Here is a 21,899-nt window from a genome sequence, read left to right as displayed (position 1 = left end):
GACAGGCAGTAAGCAATCACTGTAATAAATGAGGATGCCATCCACGATTCTGGAGATGAAAAATGCTATGGAACAATAAGAGAGCTGGGTAACCAATATTGAAATTGTTGAGAGTGGGAAGGGGAGATATTCAGTTTGCAATTTTAAATTAGTAGTGGTGAGTAGTCAAAGTGCAGACATATCTTGAAGGCCAAGAAAACAGAATTTCCTGATGAATTAGATATAGATCTTGTGAGAGAGGTTGGTAAGTCAAGGATGGCACCAAGGTTTTTGACTGAGCAACCTGATGGGGTTGCCACCAACTGAGAGGAAGAAGACTGGAAATGACTAAGTGCCAAAGCCAATGAGCTTTTTCCCTGTGATGCTAAACTTTACCAGATAGGGATGCTACATGTTAAATATCCTAAAACTTTCGTGAAATCTCCTGCCCCTGCAGTTTTTGTGACACCAGTCTCCTGAATCTTCTGTTTCCCTTTTCCAGCAGCACCTCTTCATTTACTGGCTCTTACACGTCTGTGCACAATCAAGGTTCCTTGATCTCCAACTCGCCACTCCTTCCCCATCCTTCTGCCATCATCCTTTGGTACTTATCTCAGATCTCCAAATTGTCTTACACTCTTATCCAAAAAAAATCTAATTCTAGTTCTAGTAATTTAGCAATTTAAACAAATAGGCCCTCTTTTTCCCCCTTCTTAGTCCTCAGCAACAAAAATGCAGAAATTATAAAGCATACCAAAAGATTGACAATGTTGTCAAGCTTTAATTAAATAACAGAAGTCTCTGCAAATGAAGAAAGAAAGGAGTCAAGGCCAGAATACAGAATACACTAACTAATCCTTCAGCAGGCCAAAGGGACTTAGATATTGGCCCAAGGAAGTTGACCACTCACATGGGAACAGAGTAAACTTGGACTTGTGCACGATAGAAAGCAAGATGTAAGACCATGCATAAAAAGAAATCTGAAAGGCTGCATCTGAGTGTAATGATATTGAAAATAGCTATTCATTTAGGCAATCCAGTGTCAGGCAAGAGGAGGAGGAGATGGGTACTGTGTGGATTGAGTCTAATTGGAAAAATTCAACCTCTGAGCCTGTGCCATCCTAGCTGTAAAATTTGAATGTATTAGTGTAATTTGAATCTATTAATGTTGTGTGGAAATTTCAAGTTGAAAAATTAACATGAAAACTGAGTAAACTCATAAAGTTCCAAGAAACTGCTATCTAGGGACATTTTTACAACCCACAGCAAAATTACCACAATACCAAAAGAAAAAAGCCAGAAAAAAAAAAAAAATCAAGGGAGAAAGTCAAACACATAGAAGTAGAGAGTAGAATAATGGTTTTCACTGGCTAGTTTTATGGGAGGGGTGAATGGGTGAAAGGGAGACGTTGGTTAGCGAGTACAAAGTTTCAGTTAGGAGAAGTATGAGCTGGTGTTTCATTGTACAGCATGGTGACTATAATTATTAATGCATTTCAAAATAGCTGAAAATTTTAAGAAAGAGGATTTTAGCTGTTCTTACCACAAAAAGAAATGATAAATATTTAAGATGTGGATATTCTAGCCTGACTTGATCGTTCTACAATGTATAAATGTTTCAAAATATCACACTGAATCCCATAAATATACAAATTATTATTTGTCAATTAAAAACAAAACTTAAAAAAGAATAAACATCTTTGATAATTACAGTGAACAAAATTTCTAGCATATATTGGCCTATCCTAAATTATAAGGAAGCATTCAATTTAATTCTTATATTAGAAACTGAACTATGTAATCCTTTAAAAGTAGTAAAATGTCTCATGAAATTTTTTTTTTTTTTTTTTTTTTTTGAGACAGAGTCTTGCTCTGTCAGCCAGGCTGGAGTGCAGTGTCACGATCTCGGCTCACTGCAACCTCCGCCTCCTGAGCTCAATCAATTCTCCTGCCTCAGCCTCCCGAGTAGCTGGGATAATAGGCATGTGCCACCGTGCCCGCTAATTTTTGGATTTTTAGTAGAGATTACCTGACCTCAGGTAATCTGCCCATCTCGGACTCCCAAAGTGCTGGAAATACAGGCATGAGCCAGTGGTCCCAGCCATAAATTTTTTAAAGAAATAATTTGCAGTTGATAATGTGCAGTATCAGGAACTTTGAATCTGGAAATAAATGCGTGTAATAGTGAGCATGTCAACTGAATCATATTCGCCAGTGACATGTTTTGTTAACTAAATTATAATCTATCAATAAGTATATGAAGTTGATAACTTTCCAAGATTAATTAAAAGCTGGCACAAACGTAATATAATACATATCTAGAGATAAATATTATTGAGATTTATTTCCTGACATTAAAAACAAATTTGATACAGGCCAAACACTTTGCCCTTATTTGACCTTGGGATTCTCTGTCTGCAAACTCCCGCCCTTCAATACTCAACAATGGCTTTATATATGCCATGTCCCATGGGAACAAATCTGTTTCTCTCCAGGTAGAATTCATCACTTTCTTTTTACTTTTTCCTTTTTTTTTTTTTTAATTGAGATGGGGTCTCACTCCATCACCTGGCTGTAATGCAGTGGAGCAATCTCAGCTCACTGCAGCTTCCTCCTCCTGGGCACAAACAATCCTCCCACCTTAGCCTCCTGAGTAGCTGGGACTACAGGTGTGCACCATCATGCCTGGCTAATTTTTGTATTTTTTATAGAGGCAGGATTTTGCTATATTGCCCAGGCATGTCTCGAACCTGTGAGCTCAAGCAATCCACTGGCCTTGGCCTCCCAAAGTGCTGGGATTACAGGCATGAGCCACTGCACCTGGTCTCATCACTTTCATATTTGAGCTAGATCCACTTCAAGTTTTCCTGGACTACAGAATGCATCATATTATATTATATTATAGTCATTAGCCAACCCATTCTTTTCTTCTGGGAACCATAAGCTTTTTGAAAAGCAGGAGACACTTGTGTTCCAGTGTCTTCTAAAACATCTGACAGACTCCTATTCACAAGCATTTTACTACCAAACAAAAAACTCATTTGAATCCCTTTACCTCCTTATATCTAACACTTTGTAATAGTTAAACATGTGTTATATTAAGCAGTCTATAAAATCAAAAAAAGACTTGTATATTTTCTATTAACAGTAAATACATGGAAATTCCAAGAAGAATTAATATGCATAGACTGGGCAAATTCAGTAACTAAGCAAATCTAGATAATCTAATAACTTAATGAAAATTAAAATGTGTAGCACCTCTAAAACTATGCTCTTATGTTTATATGAATAAATGAAGTTAATCTATAAATTGGTAAAATTCATCATATTAATCAATTGTTCTATAATACAATCTTATTAAATCACACAAACTCTTGTGTGTGTGCATAAGTAACAAGTAAGTATGATTTTCAGATAATTTAATTTTGCTTTAAATTATATATTTTGTTAAAGTGGAATTATTGACATTACTTTTAATCTCTTATCTGGAAAATGCCTGAAAAATAAAGTTTGCCCAGTATGTCCCCAGTTAATAATAAGTCTTCAATGAGTGAATCAACTGAATGAATATGCTTATTCAAAATATAATTTTACAGAGTGTAGTTTCAATTTATATTTATCAGTAAGTAACGTGTGAATTTGCCTAAGCAAAGCTCTAAAATGCATTTTCATCAGCTTGGTTCATCCAAATATCTTCTCCTTTAAAGATTTATCAGCGGGAAAATTAAACCATATTGGTTATAGTATAATTGCATAGGTGATATAACTATAAAGAAAAGCTGCTAAAGGATTATCAGGCAGTGGGGGAAAGAAGTAGGCTATGATAAGAAAGGGGTATATAAGAGAACCTTCCAAGGATTCAGAAATATCATTCTTGTTTATTGACCTGGAGGGTGATCAGAAGGATATTTGCTTTATAATTTTAAAACTGTACATATATTCTATCCATAGTATCTATGCTTTTTAATATTAGAAAGCAAAAAGAACAGATTAGCATATAGCATCTATGTAACCAAGTGGCACAAACTGGGTGTCTTTCAACAGAAATTTATTCTCTCACATGCCTGGAAGTTAGAAGTCTGAAATCAAGGTGTCACTGGGGCTGCACTTTTTCTGAAAGCTCTAGGAAAGAATCTAATCTATGCCTTTCTCTTGGCTTCTGCTGTTGCCCAAAATCCTTGACATTCCTTGACTCATAGATGCATCACTCCAGTCTTTGTCTACATTGTCACATGGCATTTTTTTCTCTGCGTCTCTGTGTGGCTTTTCTCCTCTTCTCATAAGGGCACCAGCATATTGGATTAGGGCTCCCCCTAATTCAGCATGACCTCATCTTTATTTGATTACATCTGCAAAGACCCAATTTCGAAATAAGGTCATATTCACAGGTATAGGGGGCTAGACTTCAATATGTCTTTTTGGAGTACACAATTCAATTCATAATAGCATCTTTCTCAGAAGCCTTGTTAATATAATAAGAAAGGAAAGTTTGAGCTATTCCCTCATTATTTTAATTACATGCAGGCTATTTTGCATATTCCTGTATTTATTATTTTAGTAACTTGTTCAGTATTAATGGTAAAGAGTGTGCACCATGTGTGGCAATGTGTGTGAAAGAAAGAGGAAGAGAAAAAGTGAATTATCAAAAATTAAGTGCTATCATCAGGCCTGAGTTAAATTTGGCCATGTCCATTTATTCCATTAGTTAAATGTGCAGTAAATGAGATTCACATTGTAAAACAGGCAATGACAGAAGTCTGGCCTCCTTGTTCTTTTAGTTTCTGCTTTTTTACTTCTCAGGGTTTTCTTTTTTTTTTTTTTATCATGTTTGTCTTGTTTTTTGTTGCTTTTGCAAGCATTGGTTCTCGAACTTGCAATTAAAAGTTAAGTAGAAGTTTTTGTTTATTTTGCAGCAGTATTCTTAAATATTTATGAAGGATCTTAAGTCTGACTCGCTTTGAGGAAATATAGATGAATTAATAATTGATGTGGCTGCTTTGCAGAAAATTAAAGGGTGGAAGCACGTGTTAAAAAATTAAATCATCCATGGCTAAGACAGCAGATGTTATTTATTTAAAATCTTGCAAAAATGTACAATTAGGTTTTTTCTTCAGTCCAAGTCAACTGAAAACCTAATGACTCATTTCAACTTTTCAGATTCTAAAACCTGAGGCTAGTCAAATACTAGACAATAAAGGAGAAAGAGAAATTTCAATTCTTTATCCTAGGAATTTTAAGAATGCTGTTTATTCACACAGAAAAGAAGTAGGAAAGAAGGATCTGTGTGTTCTGTATGGGCCTAGAGGCAGGACCCATTTATAGTCTCAGTATTTGTTTATACTTATCATATTGCCTATTAGCCACTTTGGCACAAAAAAATCTCTACAGAGGTCTAACATATGGACATTCACTTGTGTAAAGTAAATAAAATAATGAAATACAAAGATGTGGAAAAATGTTGGGTTAAAAAAGCTTGCTATGATGGAGCAAAGGTAATTCCAGTAGCTGGAGAAGAAATTCACACTTTTCCACAAGATTTATATAACTTACAATCTTGGCTGGAAGTACTTAGAGGGCAACTTCTCTATAAAAGAACAGCGATTTTATTTCTGCCTATGGAGAATGACAGAGAGTCTACCTGAACACTCACACTGTTCTAGAGGGAGAAGAATGGAAAGCACAACCTCTACAAATCCTCACCAAAAGCCTCATTTTCTTATCTGAAACAAACAAACAAAAAAAGAAATTGCAAGTTTAGTGAGAAACAAACTATGCTACTGTTGTATCTTGAAGTTCCTACTTAAAGCTGTCTAGTTGTTTTGAAGGTGTCGTTTTTAAAAGACATATTCATCTAGCCAGATTTAGAGCCTCTTTTTTTTGCAATGAAATACTCCATAACTTGATGGATCATTTTTTATAATTCTGGTTTACCCATCTCTGCTACTGGAAGATTCCCATAAAACAACTGTCCTAAGAATGGCTGCTGTCATCAAGTTGTAATGCACAGGGTAATACTTTATGTATTTTTTAAACATATGAATCAGGAAGAACTTTCCTGAGTTCCTTAAAAACTGAAAATTGTAATATTTCTAATATGAGCAGATTTTTGAAGAACATGCGTATCCTTAGTGTGTCCAAGGTGGCCTAAAATCTGAAATATCCTTCCCCAATTCACCAGCATTAGTTATTTTTCTAAAGACTTCATTAACCCAAACCTTATACTTTTTTTGTTGATCCTATCAAATTCCTTATATTTACTGTTGGTTCTATCTTATATTTCCTGGAAATATAAGATTGGTTCCATCAAATTCCTTATATTTCCTGTTGGTTTTAACACAACAAAAAGAAAGTTATGTCTCTATCACAGTATTGACTGGAAATCCTCTTTATTTGATTCCCCCAGTGGCTCAGAGAAACATTATGGGGTTGAAGTAGTGGTTTCTCAATAGTCTCACGACTGGAGGGTCAACAAAATGCCCTAGCTTCATTTAGCTCCCATTAAGTGTCCTTTAGTCACTTGACGGAGGTCACTGAGCTTGCGTGGCCCCACAGAGAACTGATGTACTCAACATCTCATTGCTTCTTACATCATCAAATATTTTCTTATTCAATCCAAGAAAGATAAATTTTTCTATTCTCTCCTAAATATCTACTACCTCTGTTTCTAAATTAAATAAGCCCAAGATCCTATTGTATGATCCCAAAATGTGCTTATACATATCTTTGCCCACAGTTCACTATGAAATGAAAATATTGTGTTACTAAATAGCTAGCCTTCTCCAGGTAGTTAAAATTATAACCGTGTCCTCCAAGCATTGTTATGTGGTATGTCTTATTCTTACAATCTTTGCAACAATGGTATAAAAAATTAATAAATGTTCAAGATTTAGCCAGTGCATTCAAGAAAACACAAGAGCAATGCATTCAAGAAAACATAAGAGCAATGCTTTTAAAGCTTAGAAAGGAGTGGACTGGGCTTGTTCATCCAGCTTTCAGTTACATTAGTAGACTCACTCCATCATGATTGAAATGTGTAGCTTATACAAGGAAAAGCAGCTACTCAGTACTTTCAAAGAAGGTAGAATTTAAAAATCTAGACTTAATAGGAGTAATTTAGGTTAGAAATTAAAATAATCTTCCTCATTTTAATGCTATAGTGAATGTGTGACAAGCTGTATAAATCCCCCTTTGAGACTTTGGGACTTGTTTCTCCAGATGCTAGAAGAGCTGTCCTCAGCTGTTAGCCTTCTCAAGAAACTGTCCTGGACTACAGAGAGCAGTCTTGCCTAGCTGTAAGCCTCCTTCCTGGGGCAGCAGCACCCACTGACTGGTGTAATTTCTAAAGTATAGTATATAGCATAAACTCTATATCACTGTACAGTATAAATTATGCAGTATATTATGCAGTAAATTATGCAGCATATTGAATAGGATGTAAGGATCCAGCACCCTCACTGAAGTATGGGATAACTCTTTGTTATTGAGACACCGTGACAGCTACAATTTTTCCTTCGGCTTGTGTCTTAGGTTAGGCTATTACAACAAAGTACCGTAGGCTTGTTGATGTATAAAACACAGAAATTTGCTTCTCATAGTTCTGGAGACATGAAGTCTGAAATCATGCTTGCGGTCAGGCTCTGTTAATGACACTCTTCTGGACTGCATACTGCCAACTTCTCCTTGTATTCTCACGTTGTACAAGGAGGGCTAGCTAATGCCCTGGCCTCTTGATAAAGGCACTAATCCCATTCTGAGGGCTCCACTTTCCTAACCTAATTACCTCCCATGGCCCCAGCTCCAAATACCATCACATTGAGCATTAGGTTTCAGCATATGAATTTTGGGGGTACACAAAACATTTAGCCTATTGTGCTGCCCAATCCTGCTGCCTCCCCCACTTCTCCCTTTCATCCCCTCCCTCCTTTTCCTCTCTTTGCTCTCACATCCAATTCATTCCCTTCTTTCTCCTCCCTCTTCTCCCTTTCCCTTTCTCCATCTTCCCTTCCCTTCTCTTCTCTGAGAGCAATCTTGCATGTAATCTCAGTCTCAGAGTTCGCTTCCCAGGGAGCACAGCTGCAACCAGTGCTTAAGAAAGATGGGAATTTAACCCAAATTAGTTTGTAATATTTCTTTCTAGACAAGGTTTTAAAAGAATAAAATAAGTGATTATCTTTCTGGAATCATTTAGGACTGAATCAACCCAGAATTATTCAGATTAAATGATGTTGAGAATTATGAGATGCATTGAAAGAGTTAAAAAATCAATTAGTACACACGTAAGAATGATTCAACGACAGAGAATAACAGATTCCATTAAAAACAAAAGTGATTTCACCAGCCACCCATCTGTGTACACTTCCAACATTCTTTTACTTTTCCACTAACAGTTGCCTTTTCTTGTTAACTTCTCTTATCTTTATATAAATATTAATTTTCACTGTAATATAAATCAAATATGCAGTCTATCTGCTTTGCAAAATACCTGTGTTATATTCTCTTTTGAGAGGTAAACTGCAGTTACTTTAATAGAGGTCTAGAAGCCCACATATCCACTATTGTCAAAAGAATCACATGGTACAGTATTAGAAAGCATCAGCAATCCCAAAATTGGGGTGCTTACATCAACAAGGGGCCATGGGCACTAACACTAATGTTGGTAGAAAAACATCAGGTGCTAAGTGGCTACGCATTGCCAACACAGTCTTTTATCTCTGTTTAAAATAGCAAAGTATCACTCATGCACCTTTTGTGTTGTTTTGAAAAGTTTTCAAACTTGTTAAACTTTCATATTATAAATTCACAAGCAGCTGATTTGCATTTAACAAAAATTCTTCTATCATTTCAGAATGGCTACCCATGTCTAAAAGGATGGCATGTATCTAAGCTGAAAAAGTGTGTTCTCCTTTACATTTTAGTATCCTTGTCTCATTACACAGTTAACATTCTGTTTCACCATCTAATGTAACATAATATGACAAGTAAAATTTGAGGAAAGAAATCATTTTTTATGTTTTGTAGCTACTTTCTATTTGAAAAGCTGATATCCATCTACACATTCTTAAGCACACAAAAGAGCACCACAGCTTAAGCCAACATCTGCTTGCAGACACTGGTTAATGAGTTGATGGCTGACTTTTAAAAAATCCAAGTAGCTTGGCACATCACATTCCACCAAAAAAATTGTGACATATGATGTTTTATAGCTTCCAATTTGCTTGAAAAGGCTGTGTTTTTTTTGTGTGTACCATCTTTTCTTGTCTTGTTTATATATTTTACCACCTACATGGATTCACACAAAAATATTGAATTCTTTTCATTTTCTTAATTAAGAAAAACTATATAATTCTATAAATGCCAATGGAAAAAAAATTGCTAAATTATGTTCCTTCTAAGATAAAAGCACAGAAAAAGATGGTCTAAGACTGTCTTTGCTTCCCATATGTTCCAGTCTTGAAAAGAATGTACTTATTTGCCCCAGTTGATATAGTGCGCAAGAATTTCTGGGTGCAAATTTATCATTCTCCTTCCAATAGCTCATATCTCAATATTTAGATAGTCTTCATGTACTTTTTCCACATTAAATATTAAATGTTTATTCCCTTTTCTGAAACTTTTTAAAATTATATCAACTATTAATTTAACAATAAAGCTATCTTGTTATCAGAGGATCAAAGTATTGACATTGAATCCAATTCTCTGACCACCCACTACTTAACCTTTCTTATTGCTGTTTACATTGCCACTATTATCAGTTCGGTGTTCATCTTTTGACTTGTACCTCATTGACTCTGAATTAAAACAATGTAAGTTTCCTGTGGGGAAAATTTCTTGGAATTTAAGACTGAATATCCTTTTCTCATTTAAAGTGGTAACTTTATTGTCAAGAAGCAATGATATTGAGGGGAAAAAAATAACATTTAAATTTTTTAAAAGACTGCGCTAACCTATTTAATTTTTATAAAACTTCAATTGTATAATTGATATAAAGAATTTTGAAATTCCAATTCCTTAATAAAGGATGAATCTCTCCTGCCACCTGTTTTTGTATGGCCCACAAGGTAAAAATGCTTTTGCCATTTTAAATGGCTACATTTTAAATGGTTATATAAGTACCTATACAATATCCTTGATTTGTCTCTTGACTCAAAAAGCCTAAAATATTTACCACACATACCTTTAAGAAAACATTTGCGAGCTCCTGATCTGGAGGAGAAGATCCCTGTGCCTTTGTTACTAGTATGCTAGTATATAGTTTTCTTTCTTTCTTTTTTTTTTTTTTTTTTTTTTAAGACAGTCCTGCACTGTGGCCCAGGCTGGAGTGCGGTGGCGTGATCTCAGCTCACTGCAACCTTCGCCTCCCCAGTTCAAGCGATTCCCTGCCACAGCCTCCCGTGTAGCTGGGATTACAAATGCGCGCCACCACACCTAGCTAATTTTTGTATTTTTAGTAGGGACAGGATTTCACCATTTTGGCCAGGCTGGTCTCAAACTCCTGACCTCAAGTGAAACCGCCCACCTCAACCTCCCAAAGTGCTGGGATTATAGGTATGAGCCACTGTGTGGGGCCTGTTACTAGTATGTAGTTTTCTATGACAACTGTGGTCACTGGAGTCAGAAATTACTTCCCTCAGAAAACATAAGCAGATTAGATGGATGTTGGAAGGAAAATGCTTTGGTTTATTTTCCCCCTGCTTTCTGTTTTTATGTATTTCATCATATTTTACTTGTCAATCCAGCACTGTTTTCCCCCATTTCTTCAATAGGTTTTTCTTCCAGACAGAAATATCATATTTCTTACAGAATATAAATGCAACATATATTTCATGTATTTGTGGCAAGTGGGGACCATGATGTCGTTATCTGCCTACCTCATAAAATCTGACAAAGTGATTACTAATAAATACACATAAATCAAATTAAAAATAAATCAATAATACAAATGTAAAATAAATTTTTGAAAAGACAGAAAGTGTTTTAAAAAAAGAAAGTGTTTTTTTCCCTCATAAGTAAGCTTTGGGTAACTGAAAAATCTGTATAAACTGAAAACATGCTAATAATTGATATGAATTACCAACTTAAATAATGTGTTCATTTAATAAAATTTCAGTTTTGTTAAAGATTTTACACTTTAATTTTTTATTGGAGTATTTTGACATGAATATTCTTGATTATGTCAACAATTCAGTGATGCTTGCAGACACTGGATTTGTAGGAAGTTTTCTCAATTTTCTAGGTGTCATCTTTTATAAAAGAACAATTATTCTGTCTATAAGCATGACCTTTTTGATGTTCTATTTGTATGACTCTAAATAAGCAATATTTTAGACCTAGATAAGTTAAGTGTCTTCTGAAGTGTCAGGGATTCTGTATTCTGTCTTTGTAAGTTATTACAGAACAATGAGTTTATAATAATGCTCCAAGAGAGTTGGACACCATACTAGATATTTCATTTTCAGATCAGAACAAATAACACATTCCATGCCATGCAGGTCTGGCTTCCCAGGCTGCTCAAAATGAAAAAAGCAAAAAAGCAAACATAATCCCTAAATTTCTATTTTTTGGGAATAGCAAACAAGATGAATGATATCTAAAAAAACAACTTCAAGCTCTCATTTTAGAAAAGAGAGAAACTGAGGTCGAGGGCAATAAAGGAGCGGGGGCTTTGCAGGCTCTTCCAACGCTTGGCTTCTGTGATTTTTTTTATCTTTAAATGAGTAAACATGAGCTTTTATATTGGATTCACACTTGGAATGGAATAAAATAGTATCTAATGCAATTCAAAACAGCTTTAGTAAGTCATTGTGCTAGTATCATAACATTTCTTTTTTCGGTACATCTTTCTTCCAAAGTCAGTTTTTCATTTAACACCAAAAGAGCCCACATTGCAGCACTCAGAAAAGAAATAAAGGTTTTATTTTTAAAGAGTGTTAAGTCTACAAGTGACTAAAGAGTCTTTGATACTAAAAATACCCTAGGTAAAGGGGGAAATTTTTCAGTTTGAACAGTATGTAGTCATAAATGTGGCAGACTTTCTATTAGCTCAGACTCTGGGAAGAACAGTTGGTGAGGCTGCAGCTCTTTGCTAAGGAGCATAATACATATCACAGGGAGTTATGAAATAAGAATCCTCCATTCTACCATAGGTACAACTACACAAGTACACACACACACAAATACACATATACACACATCCACATCTAAATATTACCACATGCAGAAATGCCACATCCATACACAGACTCAGAGATATACACAGCCAGTATCATGGACACACATACACACATGGACACACACACACACACCAATGAGTAGGTACCACAAGTAACTATAGTAATAGCAACTGTCATTTAAACTATATCACTTATATTAGTTATTGGTCTTCTTTAGTCTAATGAAATGACTTCCTTATTACAAAACATCTTGTCACCATATTGAAAACAGCATGTTACAAAGATGGCAGAATCTTGATCGACTGAAGAATGAGTCAACATAATTACAATAGCAAAAGGAACAAACGCAAAAATTGTATGTCTACGAAAACATGGCTTATTGACGGTTCTTGGGAAAAGATAACAGGTCACTCTGGTTCCTCATCTGTGAAATATAGGAGCTGGACTGGGTGTTCTGTGAGGCTTCTTACAGCTTTCATACCCTCAGAACATACATTTCTATTTGCATATGAATGAGAGTGATAAATTCTTATTGGCTAACCCCAAATGCTTTGCCAAAACATTTGATTAAAACATTTACTGCACACCTGAATATTCTGCAGAGATAAATTACAATGTTTTCCATATAAAATATTTAATTTGCCTGGGCATGGTGGCTCATGCCTGTAATTCAAGCACTTTGGGAGGCCGAGGTGGGCAGATCACCTGAGGTCAGGAGTTCAAGAACAGCCTGGCCAAAATGGCGAAACCCCATCTCTACTAAAACTACAAAAATTAGCCGGGCATGGTGGGTGCCTGTAATCCCAGCTACTCGGGAGACTGAGGCAGGAGAATCACTTGAACCCAGGAGGCGGAGGTTGCAGTGAGCTGAGATTGTGCCACTGCTACACAGCCCTGGTGACAAGAGCAAAACTCCATCTCAAGAAAAAAAAAAGAAAAAGAAGAAGAAAAACATTTAATTTGTGCCTAAACTAAGCAGAGAAATTGTTGGTCGACACTTACCTTTAACCTTGACCACACAAGTGTTTCAAGAGACTAATAATCACTCCTTAGGGTTATCAATAGTAAACTATCGATAGCATCATGAAATACATAATTTACTAAGGGCATCACTGCCTTGGGTGCTGAATAGACACTGTCCATGTTGAGCAGACTTCAAATAATGATGGCAAAGTGATAGCTCTATATTAAAACAAAAACTTCCTGTTTGTGCTTCTTCCGAAATTGTTTTAATTTGGATATTCTTTCAAATTTTTTCATATTAGAGAAATTAATAATGTGATTTAAGTATTCTTTTATTTCCTCTCTCACATGGAAAAGAAAACCAGTGAACTACCCACACATATCATAAGCTATCACATATTGAGTCTCCTTTTTAAATTTGCATCACCAATGTCAATTTTTAATTCAAGGCCATAATCTGTTGTTAAAAAGAGGAGTCTTAAAAGATCCCTCGCAGTAGTAATAAATGAGAGAACACAAAATTTCCTCTATAGCACATAAAATGCACCAAATGAGACAGGAACTAAAGGGTTCCAAATCCAGTTCTGGATAATAATAAACAAGTCTCATGACTTCTTTGTGTCTACTTTTCTTCCTTTTTAAAATAAAGAATTTAGAGTAGATTTTTTAAAGTCTTTTTTAGCTCAGAATTATTTGTGTATTGCTATGGTTAGAACATTTGTGTCACCCCCCAAATTCATATGTTGACACCCTCTCAAGTTGATGTCATTAGGAGGTGGAACTTTGGGAAGTTAATTATGTACCGAGGGCAAAGCCCTCATGAATGGAATTAGTGCCCTTATAAAAGAGGCCTTCATGGCCAACATGGTGAAACCCCATCTCCACTAAAAGTACAAAAATTAGCTAAGTATAAATTAATACAGGTGGCCAGCGCCTGGAATCCCAGCTACTCAGGAGACAGAGGCAGGAGAATCGCTTGAACCGGGGAGGCGGAGGAGGTTGCAGTGAGCCAAGATTGCACCACTGTGCTCCAGCCTGGTCAGCAGAGTGAGACTCCGTCTCAAAAAAAAAAAAAAATGCTTCAGAGAGTGAGCTTGTCCTTCCACCATGTAAGGACACTACTAGAAGATGCCATCTGTGAGGAAGCTCAACCATGCTGACACCCTAATCTCAGACTCCCAGTCTCCAGAATGTGATAAATAAATGTCTGCTTTCCTGTTTTACCCAGTCTATGGCATTTTGTTATAACAACCCAAACAATCTAAGACATGTGTGTAATTAACTTTGAATTAGTCTCTACTGAGCACTCAGTGTATTTTCATACTCTGCTTGCAATATGCTGTTGAATGCAGGAACTGTGACTTGTAAATCTTTAAGCCTCTACAGCATTCTCATCATGCTCTGCTCATAGTAGGTTCTTCCATCTGTTTGTTGGAAGCACTAGAAACAAATTATAAACTATTTTCTCAGGATACCTTTTAATGTTTAAAACAACAGCCAGATTTTCACTTCTGTTCTTTGCAGAGATTGTCTTTCTTTGCACTAATGAGAAAGATGCATACCCTGAAAAATGCTTTTAAGTAACTATGAAAAAAGACTTGCACAAAGCATCTGCCCTATTGCATCGCTAATGGGGTAACCTCTTTATGTTTATGCAATCCATAAATAGTGGGCACAAAATGCCAAAGGTTTTTAAAGTGCTGAAAATAACTTATCTCTTGGAATAGTAGCATTTTTATTTTAAGCTGCAATTTACAGATATTAAAGATTGTCATTTTGCCCCTTCTTCTGTAGTTGTAGTTTAAAAGCAAAATAGACAACTACTTTTTGAAAGGGCAAAAGCAAAATGATGAAAGAAAATAAAATATATTATTTTACAGAGTTCAGTACTTTTAATAACACTGGCTTTGAACTCTTGCTTTTCATTTCCAAAACCATGGGGGCAAGATAATTCCTCCAAAGGCTAAAACCAAGACAGGGTATTGGTGGACACCTGGGGCTCAGCAGGCCTGGGGAGATAGTGAAACCTGAGAGTTAGAGTTTACCAGGAAGGTGTGATAATTATAATTTGGCTGGAAAAAATAGTAAAACTAAATTGGTTGGGTTGACAAATAGCCAAATTACTCAGCAAGTTCTAACATGGAGTTGAGACCCATAGAGAACATGGAGATCTGTCTTAAGAAACAGAAGGCTAATGACAAGGTGTAGCCTTGAGAACCAGGAAGGGAACAAAGACTAGTGTAATCTATTCATTAGCGTTGTTCTGAAAAATTGATCTGGGTACAAAAAGTAGTCCAAATGATAAAAATAATGCATTTTCTGCCTACAAAAGGAAAGTACCCTTTTTTTTTTCAGCCAGATAATACACAGATACAAAAAAAATAAGAGACAGAGATGGATGAAAAATGTTTAAGTAACAGAAGCAGAATACTAGCATCACAGTTAAGACATATGACACTGGTCTTTAGCATAAGGAAGCAGAAATATGAATTGCCCCTGATACCAGCATAAGTGAAATCTCTATGCTTAGTATTGGGGATGCAGTAACTAGCAAAAACAGACATAGGACCTTCCTATATGATCCTATTATTCAATATGGAAGATGTCCATAAAATAGTCACCCGAGCAAATGTAAAACTGTGACTGGCACTAGGAAAGAGAAGTGCATGGTATTCTGATAGCATAAGAGGGGGATTTGACTTGACCAGGATGGTGCAAAACAGCACTCTTAAGGAAGTGATGATTTTGCTGAGATCTGAACAACGAGTAGGAGTTAACAGGATGATATGTGTTTGGTGGTGGGGAGGAGGTGTTAATGAAGAAGGGATAGGATTTTCCAGGAAGTGGGAAGAGCAAGAGCAAAGTCCCGTATTCAAGGGAATGGAAGAAGGCCAATGGCTGAAAAGTCAAAAGGAAGGAACATGCAGTGACAGGTGACACTGGAGAAGAGGTGGAAGGAAGACCAGGCACAGTAAAGGCCATGTTAAGTATTTTGGTGTTTATTCTAAGATGAGTGAGAAACAATTTAATTGTTTAAACAAGAGACTGACATGGGACGTTAAGTTTTATTTAAAAGAAAATAAAAAAAGATTATTCCAGCAATGGCATAGTGATGCAGTACAGCCCAGATTTGAAAGAAATAAAGTGGAAGGTTTTTGGTGGCTTTCATTATTTTCCAGGTGAAGATGACAGCAGCTTGAGCTAGGGTCATAGCAATGAAAATAGAAACAAGTCGGTTTGTGAAATGTTTAAGAAGTAAAATCAGCGGGCCTGGAGATGGTTTAATTGGATATCGTATATGAAAAGAGAAAGCCTTTAAGGATGACTCAGGGTTTTGGCTTGTATATCTTTGAAATAGCAATGCTAGGAAAAGATCTTATTTTGTTTTGTTTGCAGTGGGAAGGTGGTAATGATATTAAGTTCAGTTTGGGATAAGTAGAATTTAAAATGTCTTTAAGATGTCCATGTGGAGATACCAAATAGGCAATTGAACATACCAGTCTGGAGCTTAGAGGACAGTGCTGGGCTGGAGATAAAAACTGACAAAGCATGAACATGGTCAGAGCCACAGGCCTGGGTGAGATTGCCTGGGAAGAGAGGATAAACTGAGAAAAGAGATCTTAGGATGAGCCTTGTTAAAGCTAAAATGTAACGGAGAAGGATACATCTGCCATACCTTCCTCACTCTGACCAGACTTTACCCTAATGTAAAAATGTGCTATCAGTAAAATGAAAAGTAACAAATAAACAGAGAATACACTAACAGTCGGCCGTGGTGGCTCATGCCTGTAGTCCCAACACTTTAGGAAGTGGAGGCAGGAGGATGGTTTGAGCTCAGGAGTTTGAGACCAGCCAGGGCAACATCAAAAGACCGTGTCTCTACAAAAAAAAAAAATAGAAAAATTAGCCAGGTATGGTAGTGCATACCTGTAGTCTCAGATACTTGGGAGGCTGAGGTGGGAGGATCACTAAGGCCCAGGAGGTCGAGGCTGCAATGAATGGAGATAATGCCACTGCACTTCAGTCTGGGCAACAGAGTGAGGCCCTGTCTCAAATAATAATAATAAATAATAATTAGAAGAAGAAGAAGAATACACTAACATTATTATTGCAAAAGTCAGGGAACTTACCAGAGAAAGATAGCTTAGAGTGGTCAATGATTTAAGTAAACTATGTTAAAAAAAAAAAAAAAAACCTCAAATAATGAAAACATACACTAAGGTCTGATTTTCACCTTACCAAACGATGTTTTTATTTATCAACCTAATTCTTTGTCCCATGTCTATTAAAAACACATTTTTTTCAACAATTTAAAATGAGATTTGCTTTGGCATTTGGACCAAGTGAGTTGTCTGTGCCCTTATTGATTAACACTGGGGCTGAATCTGAAGACAGCAGCCATGTGCCTCAGACAGGAAGCTGAGACCCAACACAGCAGTGCGGGAGAGGGGCTCAACTACAAACCTTAACAAAGCAGGCTGGGTTTCCAGATAGAGGAGAGGGTTTACAATAAAACAGAACAGGAATAGTATCTCCTCTTTGAGTACAACATATATATATTCATGTACATATCTCCTTAGAAGCTCCCTCCTCAGTGACAATCAGAAAATATTGATTCTGAGGGAAAAACCTGGACGTTGTTTGTGAATCACTAACCAAGCATTTAAGGCTTTGGACTGAGGTTAACCTGTAAGTACAAAGGTGAATTTTAGTAAGGTATTTCTAGGAAGAAAATAATGCATGTAGGTCTTCATTTTGTAATGGTTGATTCTATATTTTATTACAAAATAAAAGAAAAGCACATCTGCTAGAAGTATCATCACACTAAAAGATAAAATATCTGTAGTTTTTACATCTGAGTTTATGCAAGTGTTAATTTCTTTCTATTTTAAAAACAATAGCTGTTATGGGAGCCATAATGGTCTGCAGTGAGGCAGATGAACAAACTGAAGAATTAGTAAAATACTCCCAGTTGGTAACTTCATCATGAGAAAGAAATATTCTGTCAGGGCTTTCAATGAGATTTTTAAATCTTGTGTTGAGTGATTTATTGTTTTATATCTACAATTTTAAATTGTTCTGAGAAATGTTTTTGTACTCTGGAGAGAATTGATGAAAACATAACTGAAAATATATGCAGTGCCTTTTAAAAATCTTTGTAATCTTTATTTTAAAATTCCTTTTTATGTTTTCTTTCAAAAAGATAGTTTTCTTCTGACAATGTTATTCTATTATAAATTTTAATTTTCTTATTCTGCTTTGTCTAACTTTATAGATTTAAATACCTCAGCAAATCTAAAGTATAAGGATGAAAAAAAAATTCTGATGTGATGACAATGTGCCAACTGAATGGTATTTATACTTTGTAGTCAGAAATGTTACAATGAAATTGTCTCTGCTTGTGATCTCACATTATGGAGAGTTCTGAGGGTCTGACAACTCCTGACATTATGATATACTCCTATTACATGGTTAAAGCAGACAGTCAGAGCAGAGTTCTCAGCAGAGCACAAGGAAAGATTTATAGACATGGCAAAAGAACACTTTGCCTGTTCCCTTCTTTAAATAATTATGACTTTCCATGAATCTCTTTCTAAATCAACTACAGAATGACAAATATCTGGGCAAAGAAAAGGCCACAAAAATATCACTTACTGTAAGCACTATTGAGGTTTTAGAAGCACAGTATTGAATTCTCTGTTGTACATTCTGCATATGATTCATTATGTGGGATGCTCCCCACCTCTCCACACACCATATATTTCTCCCATTCTCATTCAAAAAGGACTTTTAAAACTCCCTCTCTCTGTCAAGTTCTTTCGTTTCTCAATACAAGGAGTCAAGAAGAAAATATTTCAGTGTATTTTTCATTGAACAAGTTAAGGAGATGTGATAAAAAGATTTGTCTAATTGATTAAATGGTATGTGCACTCTGGAAGGACTTTCCAGGATTTTGGAAAAGGAAAAATAACATTTGCAGGTATATGTTTTATTTAATTGTGAAGGTTTATATAAAGTAACATTTTGAAATACTGGGCTGGGTGCAGTAGCTCACGCCTATGATCCCAGCATTTTGGGAGGCGGAGGCAAGTGGGTAGCTTGAGCTCAGGAGTTTGAGACCAGCCTCGGCAACATGGTGAAACCTCATCACTACAAACAATACAAAAATTAGTCAGGCATGGTGGTGTGTGCCTATAGTCCCAGGTACTCGGGAAGCTGAGATGGAAGGATCGTTTGAGCCCAGGAACCAGAGTTGCAGTGAGCTGAGATCAGGCCACTGCACTCCAGTCTGAGCAACAGAGTGAGACCCTATCTCAAAAAAATAAAATAAAACCTGTATTTTTTTTCAATACTGAAATACTGAATTTTGAAAAATGCTTCCTTGTTCTGAAAAGGGAAAGACAATATTTATAGAGTGTCTGCTCTGCAAGGGCCTTTCCATAGATTATATCTGTCAATCTTTACAACAGCCCAAGGAGGGAAGAAATATCAGTGCCATTTTACAGATAAGCACACTAAATTATAGACAAGTTATGTGCCCAAGATCACACAGCAAATAACAGACCCACACTCTAAAGCTTTGTCTGGCCCTCAACTCATGTTCTTTCCGAAGGCCTGACTATTGCCTACTCCTAAGTTTTGCATACAAAAATGGATAAACACACAAAGTGAAAACAAAAATAATCTAGCCCTCTTGCTTTGCTATTATAATCTAAATGCACAACGGGGAAAAAAGAGGTGACTGCTGATTTCATAGTTTATATAATTCCACCTATTTGAAGAGTCTAACAATAAAATACTTAAGGGATGTAGCATTTATAAATTTGCAGACTTGCTGAGCTCTGAGCTATGCATATTATCTGCATTATATTCTGTAACTATTTTAATCCTCACAATAATAACACAAGGTAGGCACCATTACTATCTCCATTTTAATGATGAGGAAACTAAGGCTGAGAGGTAAAAAAGTTATCCAGGATCACACAAGTGATTCTATAAGTGGTAGAGCTGGTCTTGAATCTATGATTATAGGGTGCTGAAGCGCTCTTATCCATGATGCTAAATTGCCTCCTTTAATTACATAATTACTACAAAATGAAACTAAAACAAGCCACTGATTATGTTTATATTTCTATGTATTTTACAAGCAATATATTGCATTATCTATGAAAACTGTATGATTCTTATTTTTAATTCCCAAAAAATGCATTAATTCTGTTAAAAAATACAGAATCAATGCAAAAAAATGCATTAATTCTGTAAAAAGAAAACTGCAGAAAACCAATATAGAAGTTAACTTGAAAAGTAACATGTGAATCTAACCTGTCACATTCCTCATTAAACCTACCTTTCTTATCAAAGGTAACTACTGTTCACAGACATATAACCTTCCAGACTTACTAAATGTGTATGTGTGTTTGTATATATATGTGTGTATATATATATAAATGTATTTATATATACCAATGTATTTATATATATACACACATATACATACATATATATCATATTATATATTATATCACATTATATATGTATGTATATATATGCATGTATACATATGTATGTATATGCGTGTGTATATATGTACATATGTGTGTATATATATAATACAAATATAATTTTAAGTCATATTACATACCCTAACTTTTTTTTGGCTCAATAACATATCTTGGAGTTCTTTCTATATTGGAACACTTAATTTTAATGCTTTCATTCTTCACTTCTGAATAGCTTACCATAATACAAATATGTCATATTTTAATTTTCCATTTTACAGCATTATTTTGTGGGTTCTTTAACCTTTCTCTAAAGCATCTGTCATGTTATTTACCCAATTACTTATTGAATGCTTCTGTTTGGATGCCCATCAGGTGGGCTTAAATTTCCCCATGTCCAAAATGAAATTTATCACCATCCTCCACATTGCTAGCTCCTATATGTTCTTTAAGTCAGGGCTACTGAAAATGTGAGCAATGGACAAGTGATGGTCAGGGATTACTTGAACTAGTCCATGGTTAAATAAGTACAGAAACTAAGAGAAGGCATTTAGAAACCTTCATAGCACTTTGGCAATGCTGCAACATCTTCCTGCACTAACACGCTTCTACTAATTTATTTTTACTGCATTTTACAAAGTATGCAATGAAAAAGAAATTTAAAAACTAAAACCAGAAAGCTTATCCTTTACCACAGATACTCTGAGAAACAGTTACCACTGCAATTCAGTGAAGGGCCCTGCTATCCAACCAGTCTAAGCCAGAAATGTGAGACTTACTCTTCCTATCTCTCTGACCAAGAATATACATCGGTAGAGAATCTAGAGAAAAACCATGAGAATGTTTTTAGAGCAAAGGAATTGCTTTCAAACTTTTGTCTTTACTGGTCCCTTTTCCATTAGGATAAAAACATGCTGATTTTCTCTGACCTTTTGAATACCCTCCACCACTAGTGGCATTGAAGTGGCCCTCCAACTATTACCTTAGCTCTTTCCTTCTCTCTGTAATAAGATTTTTATTAAACATTTTTAGGAATGCAAAGTTCCCTTTCATATTCCCCATTAGTTTTGTTAAACCACTGCAGTGTGATTTTCCACAACTCCTCTGCTGAAAATCTTAAAGTAACCAATCATAGCCTTATTTCTATGAGGTTGGTGGAAAAGTAATTGAGGTTTTTGCTATTTCTTTTAATTGCAAAAACTAGAATTAGTTTTGCACCAAGCTAATAAATCCCGTCTTTTTTTCCTTGACTTCTGTGCAACATCTAATACCACTGACCATTCACCTC

The 21,899-nt window shown here is 35.7% G+C and overlaps 1 long non-coding RNA gene across 2 annotated transcripts in view; it reads right to left on the bottom strand.

Annotated features, from left to right (window-relative positions):
- LOC107986638 (uncharacterized) overlaps window positions 1–21,899 on the bottom strand; it is a 131,875-nt gene that overhangs the window by 79,644 nt on the left and 30,332 nt on the right. The gene's annotated exons all lie outside the window — the stretch shown is intronic.

This window comes from Homo sapiens, chromosome 6 (genome assembly GCF_000001405.40).
Source record: "Homo sapiens chromosome 6, GRCh38.p14 Primary Assembly".
NCBI lineage: Eukaryota > Metazoa > Chordata > Mammalia > Primates > Hominidae > Homo > Homo sapiens.
The sequence above is the reverse complement of the archived record's forward strand: the minus strand, read 5'-3'. Positions and strand labels throughout refer to the sequence as shown.